Below are 9490 nucleotides of genomic sequence, written 5' to 3'. Positions count from 1 at the left end.
TTTTCAATTTACATTACTATTTTTTATTTCACTCCGATGTTATTTTGAAGTGTGCTTTTAAATTTCCAGACATAGAAAATTACTAAAATTTGGCCGGGTGTGGTGGCCATCGCCTGTAATCCCAGCACTTTGGGAGGCTGAGGTGGGCTTATCACTTGAGGTCAGGAGTTTGATACTAGCCTGGCCAACATGGCAAAACCCCATCTCTACTGAAAATACAGAAATTAGCCAGCCATGGTGGTGAGCGCCTGTAATCCCAGCTACTCAGGAGGCTGAGGCAGGAGAATTGCTTGAACCTGGGAGGAGGAGGCTGCAGTAAGCCGAGATAATACCACTGCACTCCAGCCTGGGTGACAGAGCAAGACTCTCAAAAAAAAAAATTACTAAAATGTGTCTTTGTATTGTCTATATCTACTTTTTAAATTCTGTTGTGATCAGAGGCCACAGATATCTGTATGATACTGATTGTTTTAAATATAATGACACATTTTGTAGCCTAATAAAGTGTATACCTTTCAATCATATTTTCTAACCACAATGCAACTAAGTTAGAAGTCAATTTTTTGAAATGGTAAGAAATCTTAAAACACAGGTTAACATTTCCACACGTGCTTGAGAAGAATGAGTATAATCTAAGTGTTGGGGGATTATGTTCATTAAGTCATGCCTGTCAGTTTTAATTGAAATCTTCTATGTCTTTACAAATTTTGTCTTTTTGATCTATCAATAATTAATTAAGGTGCACTAAAATCTCCTACTGTTGTGGCAGATTGAACTACTTCTTGTAGTTATTTTCAATTTTTGTTTTATATTTTTTAGATTTTATAAAAGTGGATGCAAATTTATAACTATTGTATCTTACTGGTGAATTAAACTTCTTATCACTGTATATTAACCCTCTTTACCTTTAATAATGCATTTTCCTTAAAAGCTATTTTGTTTGATGTTTATTATTATTTTTCTGATGTATCTCTTATCCTACTTTTACTTATAAACTTTCTATTTTCTTAGTTTCATCTACGTCTCTTATAATTAATATATGGCTCAATTTAGAAAAAAATTTAACATGGCAATTTTAGTCTTTTGACTGGTAGGTTTGGTCCACTTACATTTATTGTGATTATTAAAATATTTGGACTTTGGGGTAGTACAGCTCTTTCCTTTCCGTCTGGAGGCAGCCATCAGGTAAGCCAAGATGGGTGCATACAAGTACATCCAGGAGCTATGGAGAAAGAAGCAGTCTGACGTCATGCGCTTTCTTCTGAGGGTCCACTGCTGGCAGTGTGTCAGCTCTCTGCTCTTCACAGTGCTCCCTGCCCCACCTGGCCTGATAAAGCACACCGACTGGGCTACAAGGCCAAACAAGGTTACATTATATGTAGGATTCGTGTTCGCCGTGGTGGCCGAAAACACCCAGTTCCCTTAGGAACAACTGACGGCAAGTCTGTCCATCATGGTGTTAACCAGCTAAAGTTTGCTCGAAGCCTTCGGTCCGTTGCAGAGGAGCAAGCTGGACGCCACTGTGGGGCTCTTTAAGAGCCCGGAATTCTCACTGGGTTGGTGAAGATTCCACATACAAATTTTTTGAGGTTATCCTCATTAATCCATTCCATAAAGCTATCAGAAGAAATCCTGACACCCAGTGGATCACCAAACCAGTCCACAAGCACAGGGAGATGCGTGGGCTGACATCTGCAGGCCGAAAGAGCCGTGGCCTTGGAAAGGGCCATAAGTTCCACCACATTATTGGTAGTTCTTGCCGGGCAGCTTGGAGAAGGCACAATACTCTCCAGCTCCACCGTTACTGCGAATATAAGTAAAGTTTGTAAAATTCATGTCTAATAAACAATTTACGACAGTCATGTCTGCTTACAGGTGTTATTTGTCTGTTAAAACTAGTCTGCAGATTGTTCCCTGAATGCTTTGTCAAGAAAATTAAAGTGCAATAATGTTTGAAGACAATAAGTGATGGTGTATCTTGTTTCTAATAAGACAAACTTTTTTGTCTTTGCTTTATCTTATTAGGGAGTTATATGTCAGTGTATAAAACATGCTGTGTGGTATAATAGGTTTAAAATAATTCCTTTAAAAGAAGAGTATTGAAGCTAGCCCTGTAGATTTGCCTGGTGCATGTAATGAAACCTGCAGCTTTATGGGGTGATGGCAGTGCTCTGCTGCCTTACTTTCAAGTGGCTGGGGGTTTTTTTAGTTTGGCAGGTACAGATTTTTTTTAATTGGGCTTTGCTTTAGAAATTGTAGGGTGGGAGGAGGACATCTTAACTATGTCACAATTATATTTAGAAAATTATGGGCACAAATCTGGGTTAGCCTGAAGAAAATTGCCTGTCTTTACGGTACCATTTTAAGTTCACATAAAAGGTGAAAGCTCCTGGGTCAGTGCCATTGCTTCATGGCATTCAGTGGTTAGTGGTCGTGCTTTTAACACTGGTGTGTTTTGAAATTGAATGTGAGATAAAATTATTAGCCTTAAGGTTGGTAAGCTAGCAATCAATGCTAGGGTGGGAAGCTGGCGAGCCGGTGGCCATTAGATAAATACCTTTCAAGTGTGAGCTCAGAAGCCAACCCTAAAATACTTAACCGTAACACTAATTTGTGATCATTATGAATCCTTTCAGTCACATTAGTGGGGAAAGTAGTTGGCTATAAGTACCTCATTCTTAGTCCAGGCAGTCTTAAAAACATCTTGGGTTACCCACTCTGTCAACTCTCATAGGCTACAGAAGAAGTCATACAAGTGCATGGATTCCAACCATATGTGTTTTCTGTAATTGTTTCTCTTATTCCTGGCCAAAGTACCCTAAAAATCCCTACCATTTCACAAAGTTGGGCCATCATTTCTACGCCCACTTTCACTGTAAGTATACCACCACATTGCATTTCTGTTCGCATCATGTCTTCTAGGAGGCTAGGCTACTGTTTTCCAGGGTGAATTTGAGTGTAAAGGAAATGTAGACAAGGAATTGCCCAATTCTAAATTCTGGCTGTGCTGACTTAATTTAAATGCTCATTTCTCTGAACCAATTTTCTCCTATCTTCTCTAGGCGTTTCAAAAGGATCAGTTAATTGATTTCCGGGAAGTACTCATAGCAAGTCCATAAAAGTTCTAGAGACCTAAATTTCTTCTCAAAAAAAGAAAAGATATTAAGTCATACATTTTGATTGTGTAGAGGTTGTTCAACTAAAGGAATAAATGTCTATTAAACTAAAAAAAAATTGGACTTGTCTATATCATTTTATTTTGTGCTTTTTCTATGCTTTTTTTTTTTTTCATTGCTTGCCTGTTAAGAGAATCCAGAGCTCAATATGGATGTCTCAGGTTCAGCTCTTCTAATTTGATAAGAACCTGAAAGTTCGTTTTTTGTTTTTTGTTTTTTTTTTTTTTGAGACAGGGTCTCGCTCTGTCGCCCAGGCTGGAGTGCAGTGACACAATCTCAGCTCACTGCAGCCTCTGCCTCCCAGGTTCAAGAAATTCTCTTGCCCTCTGCCTCCCAGGTTCAAGAAATTCTCTTGCCTCAGCCTCCTGAGCAGCTGGGACTACATGCATGTGCCACCACGCCTGGCTAAGTTTTGTATTTTTAGTAGAGACGGAGTTTCACCATGTTGCCCAGGCTGGTCTTGATCTCCTGACCTCAAGTGATCCACCCCCCTTGGCCTTGCAAAGTGCGAGGATTACAGGCGTGAGCCACCATACCCGACCAAAAGTTAGTTTTCTATTGGTGGTGCTGATATAGGTCTTCAAACTCAGGACAATCCTATTTTATAGTTATTATTCAATTTACTTGTTTATTACCATTCCTTGCTTTGGTTTCAGCCCTCTGGCATACATTTATTTATTTATCACACCTCTCAAAACTTTCCTTATTTCCAATAAGCCCATCAACGCATTAAAATATATGTTTTCTTTAATTTATCCAGGACCTAGTTGTGATAAGAGCTCCTGAGAGTATCTACAGTACCATGTAGCCAAAGTGGCACACTTTGTGGTCATTGCTCTACTTCCTTAAAGTAGAGGTTTCGGGGCCCACAAATATTAGACAAGCATTTGAACCTCCATGTGAGCACCAAGGAGTCCCATGCAGTGCGTCTGTAACGAGTGTCTCTGTACATGTATGGCTATTTTTCAATGGCCATCGGTGCTGATGTACTGAGGGAAATCCCATTCCCTCAAGTGTTTCTGAAATCATTGTAGTTTCTATGACATCTTATTTTGGTCAATCAATATTTACTATATACAAAACCACGAAATGTGTGAGAACCATAAAAATTTCAAGTGCCCCCATATCCACTAAATGCAAACAATGCTTAGCTCTAGACATTGGGCGTGTGGGTGATATTGTCTTCTGTCTGTTACTTTTCTGTGTTTCTTGAGTTCCTGCTGTGAGCATGCCTCTGTAAATACTAGTTTCATATTTACAGAGAGAAAGTTATTTTACAAAGGGGCTCTCATACTTAAAAAAGTTGGGAACCACTGCTTTGAATGATTATTTAGAGCATTAGAGCAAGAGAAGCAAACTCAAGACTGGAGGGGCCAGTCCTGTGATAGGAATGAGGAAGTGGGCCAGGGGGAGTTCAACCTGAAGGTCAAAGTGGGACTCAATGGGCGCAAATGCTTCTCAGCTCCAACTGACTTTTGTTTTGTTTTGTTTTTGGAGACAGGGTCTCACTCTGTCACCCAGGCTGGACAGCGGTGATGTGATCATTGCTCACTGCAGCCTTGAACTCCCAGGGTCAAGGGATCCTCCCACTGCAGTCTCCTAAGTAGCTGTGACTACAGGCAGACATTGCCATGCCTGGCTAATTTTTTTAGTTTTTTGTAGAGACGTGGTCTTGCTATGTTGCCCAGGCTGGTCTTGAATTTCTGGACTCAAGAGATCCTCCCACCTTGGCCTCCCATAGTGCTGAGATTACAGTCATGAGCCACCATGCCTGGCTCCAATCAATTTTTTCCCTGTAAAAATACAGGCCTGATGTTGTCAGATCTTTTAGTTAAGTGAAAATGGATATCCAAATTTGGGCTGGACACAGTGGCTCATGCCTGTAATCCTAGCACTTTGGGAGACCAAGGCAGGTGGATTGCCTGAGCTTAGGAGTTCGAGACCAGCCTGGGCAACATAGTGAAACTCTATTTCTACTAAAATACAAAAAATTAGCCAGGTGTGGTGGTGTGCACCTGTAATCGCAGCTACTCAGGAGGCTGAGGCATGAGACTTGTTTGAAATCAGGAGGAAGAGGTTGCAGTTAGCTGCGATTGTGCCATTGTATTCCAGCCTTTTTTGGAGACTCTGTCTCAAAAAAAAAAAACCAAAATTTGTTATTTGAAATCTTTAGAGATTTTTAGATGTTGGTAACCAATTCAAAAAACTTTTTAAAACATGGTGCAGTCCTAACCAACCATCTGTGTAGACTGGATGTGGCTCCTGGGTGGCCCATTCACCATTCCTGTTTTGGAATCAGTCTCCTTATCTCTCACCTCCATGCGCAACTCCATAATCAGTCACCAAGATCAAGTCCAGTTCTGGTATATTTCTCAAATAGGAGGACTACACCAAAAAATTTCTTCCCTAGATTCAGATTATAGGCCACTTCTCTCACTCACATTGAAAGTCACCAGGCCGGGCGCGGTGGCTCACGCCTGTAATCCCAGCACTTTGGGCAGCCGAGGTGAGTGGATCACTTGAGGTCAGGAGTTTGAGACCAGCCTGACCAGCATGGTGAAACCCCGTCTCTATTAAAATACAAAATTAGCCGAGTGTGGTGGCCCACGCCTGTAATCCCAGCTACATGGGAGCCTGAGGCAGGAGAATCGCTTGAGCCCAGGAGGCGGAGGTTGCAGTAAGCCGAGATCGTGCCATTGCACTCCAGCCTGGGTGACAAGAGGGAAACTCTGTCTCAAAGAAGAAGAAGAAAAAAATGAAAGTCACCAAGTTTATTTATTCATTCTTCATTCATTTGTCCATTCATCATCCATGTAGTCAGTCAGACACAAATATCTTTGAATGTCTGCCAGATATCCTAAAACAGTATCCTAAAACAGAAGGAAAGAAGACAACAGGTCAGGGTGGTAGAGAAAGAGGAGAGTGAGGAGATGATAACACCAGGAGCTGTGGTCAGGAAAAGGCCTTCTGTAGGTGGTGTTTGACTAGGACCTGCTTGCAGAGAAAAGGGCAGCTGTGCAAACTGAGGGGTGAGCTTAGCTCAAGGAGAAAGGACAAGTGTAAAGGCCTTGAGATAAGAATGGATTGAGACAGATTTGTCAGAGGAAATTTGTTAATCCTCTCAGGAGGAACCCACCCAAGGTGGCCCTCCTCCCTAACTCCATTGTCAAGCAATTGGGGCCTGGGTTATCTCTTCAATTCAGGCTGCGGGCCAAGCCCACCTCTCCACGGGTCCAAGTTTCCAGGAATGTAGTTCTGGCTCTTCCGCTCTCCAGTTGAGACCTAGGGCAAGTTGAGGGGAGCCTGGACCCCTTCCTCTTTGACCATCCCTCTGCTACCTTCCCTGACAGCGGCCCACCTCTGCTCAAGGGCCTGCTTCCTGTTCCTCAGTAGAACCACTTAACCCGTTTCTAATGCTCTTAGATAAAAGTCCAAACTTCCTTAATACCTTTACTGGGCCCTGCACCGTGCGCCCACCCCCTGCCTCCAACCCTCCTTCTCCTTCCTCCAATTCCACCTCTGCTTTCAGCCTTGCCCAGTCCCCAAAGTCCTGCCCCTTTCCTATATTTCATCTTTGTGCAAGCAGCTCTTTTCTCTCAGAATGCCATTGGCTTCTCCTTCTTCTTACTTGTGAAAGATGCCACTGAATGTCCAGGCAGTGGAGTCGGGAGCTACTTCTTCCACCTTCTCAGTCCCTTGGTCTGAAAGAGAGTCCTGACGTACTGCATTGTCATCCTTCTGCCTCACTGTGGGCTTTGTCTTGTTTTCTCTCCCTCTCCATCTTGACTGTCTCTCATTGCCCATTCCCCATCTTCCACATCTCCAGGCTCCTTGCCTGGTTCACCTTTAAGCTCCTCTGCCCTGGTCTCAGTGAACTGCTATTTCCTCTCCCAGTTCCTGGCACGATGATTCATCCACAACAAATACTTATAGAATGAACAACCTGAATAATTAAGCCCCCAAGCACTCAGAGGATGGTCCACCGTGGAGCTAAGAGTCATCACAATTTTCAGGTGATGTTACAGATAATGCAGATCCCTTCTCAGCAACTTTAATTTTTTTTCTTTTTTTGAAACAGGGTCTCACTCTGTCACCCAGGCTGGAGTGCAATGGTGCGAACACAGTTCACCGCAGCCTCCACCTCCCAGGCTCAAGTGATCCTTTTGCCTCAGCCTCCTGTGTAGCTGGGACCTCACATATGCACCACCATGCCCAGCTAATTTTTTGATCCTTTGTAGAGATGGGGTCTCATTTTGTTGTCCAAGCCAGTCTTGAACTCCTGGGCTCAAAAGATCCTGCCTGGGCTTCCCAAAGTGCTGGGATTATAGGCTTGAGCCAGCACCCTGGCCTCAGCATCTTCAATGTATTTATCACAAGCATGGCACTGCCAGCATTTGTCTTACTTTATACTTGATCAGTAGTTTGCTCAGTATAAATAGAATGCTTGAGTGGAGGGCTTGTTCCCTGCTCAGCTCCACCCAGAGTGTGGCAAGCCCTCCTTGTTGAATGGATGAACGAACAAACACTTCATAAAGCACTTTACACAGTTGATTACCTTTTATCTTCTAAACAACTCTAAGAGATAGATAGGTTCCCTTGTCAAACCCCATTTTACAATTTAGGAAGCATTAAGGCTTAAAGAGATTCAATGATTTACCCAAAGTTAACAAACCTAATAAGTAATGGGGCTGTGATTTGAACCCCCACACTGTCGTCTTGTTTCATGGTCTAATGCTGTGACAATGTCTTACATGGTGGTGGCCAGCCACATGTGGCTCCTGAGGATTTGAAGCATGGCTGCTACAAATCAAAGTGTGCTCTCAATGTAATGCATGCCCCAGATTTCAAAAATTTAATATAAAAAAAGAATAAAAATATCTAATTTTTGAGCTATGGATTACTTATTACTTGAGCTAGGGATTAGTGATGAATTACAAAAGGAGACCAAACAATTCTTAATAATTCAAAGGGAGAAAACTGGTAGACACTACCTCAATCAGTGATCACAGTTACCTCCACCAGGATGGGACCACTGACACTGTGAGCCCTGTTATAGGGTACAGTGGGAGCCAAAAGCATCATTTAGGTCTCATATTTGCGAAACCTTTTAAGCCTGAATGTAATAATGAAGAAGTAATCAGACACATCCAGATGGTGGGGTACTCTATAAAACAGGTGCTCTGTAATCTTCAAAAATGCCAGTATCTTAAGAAGTGAAGGAAGGCTGAGAAATTTTTCCAGATGATAGGAGACTAAGGACACGTAACAACAAAACACAATATGAGATCCCAGTTTGCATCCTGGATTAGAGGAAAGAACCTTATTGTGAGCTACTCGGCAGACTGAGGCAGGAGAATCGCTCGAACCCTGGAGGCGGAGGTTGCAGTGAGTGATATGTATATATATCACTACAACCTCGAACTCCTGGCTCCTTAACGTACCAGGCTCAAATGATCCACCCACCTCAGCCTCCCTAGCTGGGACCACAGGCACATGCTATCATGCCTGGCTAATTTTTTAAATTTTTGGTAGAGACAGGGTCTCTCTATGTTACCCAGGCTGGTTGTGAACTCCTGGGTTCAAGTGATCCTCCCGTCTTGGCCTCCCAAAGTGCTAGGATTACAGGCATGAGCCACTATGCCTTGCCCATAAAATACATTGAAATACGTGAATTCACGATACTTGAGGGGAAAAGAAAAGAACTTAGTGGGTCATTTTGGAGTATATTAAGAACGAGCGGCCGGGAGCAGTGGCTCACACCTGTAATCCCAGCACTTTGGGAGGCCAAAGCAGGCAGATCACCTGAGGTCAAGAGTTCGAGACCAGCCTGACCAACATGGTGAAACCTCATCTCTACTAAAAATACAAAAATTAGCCCAGTGTGGTGGCACATGCCTGTAATCCCAGCTACTCAGGAGGCTGAAGCAGGAGAATCGCTTGAACCCAGGAGGCGGAGGTTGCAGTGAGCCGAAATCGCGCCATTGCCCTCCAGCCTGGACAAGAGTGAAACTCCTTCTCAAGAAAAAAAAAAAAAAAAAAGAACCAGCTTATTAGTTTGAAAACTGGTAAATAAAGGGAAAAGAACATACATTATATATTATGCAGAGGAATGCAAGATGGTACAATCACGTTGGAAATAATTTTTGGCAGTTTCTCTCAAAGTTAAACGTACTGTTGACAGACGACCAGCAATTCCACTTCTAGGTTACCAGAAAAGATTATCCAAGAGAAATAAAAACATCTGGGCTGGGCAGGATAGCTCATGCCTAGAATCCCAGCACTGAAGGAGGCCGAGGTAGGCAGATCTCTTCAGG

At 42.8% G+C, this 9490-nt stretch overlaps 1 pseudogene; it reads left to right on the top strand.

Moving 5' to 3' along the window:
• On the top strand, positions 1144-3277 carry RPL15P2 (ribosomal protein L15 pseudogene 2; annotated as a pseudogene).

This window comes from Homo sapiens, chromosome 14 (assembly GCF_000001405.40).
Source record: "Homo sapiens chromosome 14, GRCh38.p14 Primary Assembly".
NCBI lineage: Eukaryota > Metazoa > Chordata > Mammalia > Primates > Hominidae > Homo > Homo sapiens.
This window is presented reverse-complemented; position numbering and strand designations above follow the sequence as displayed.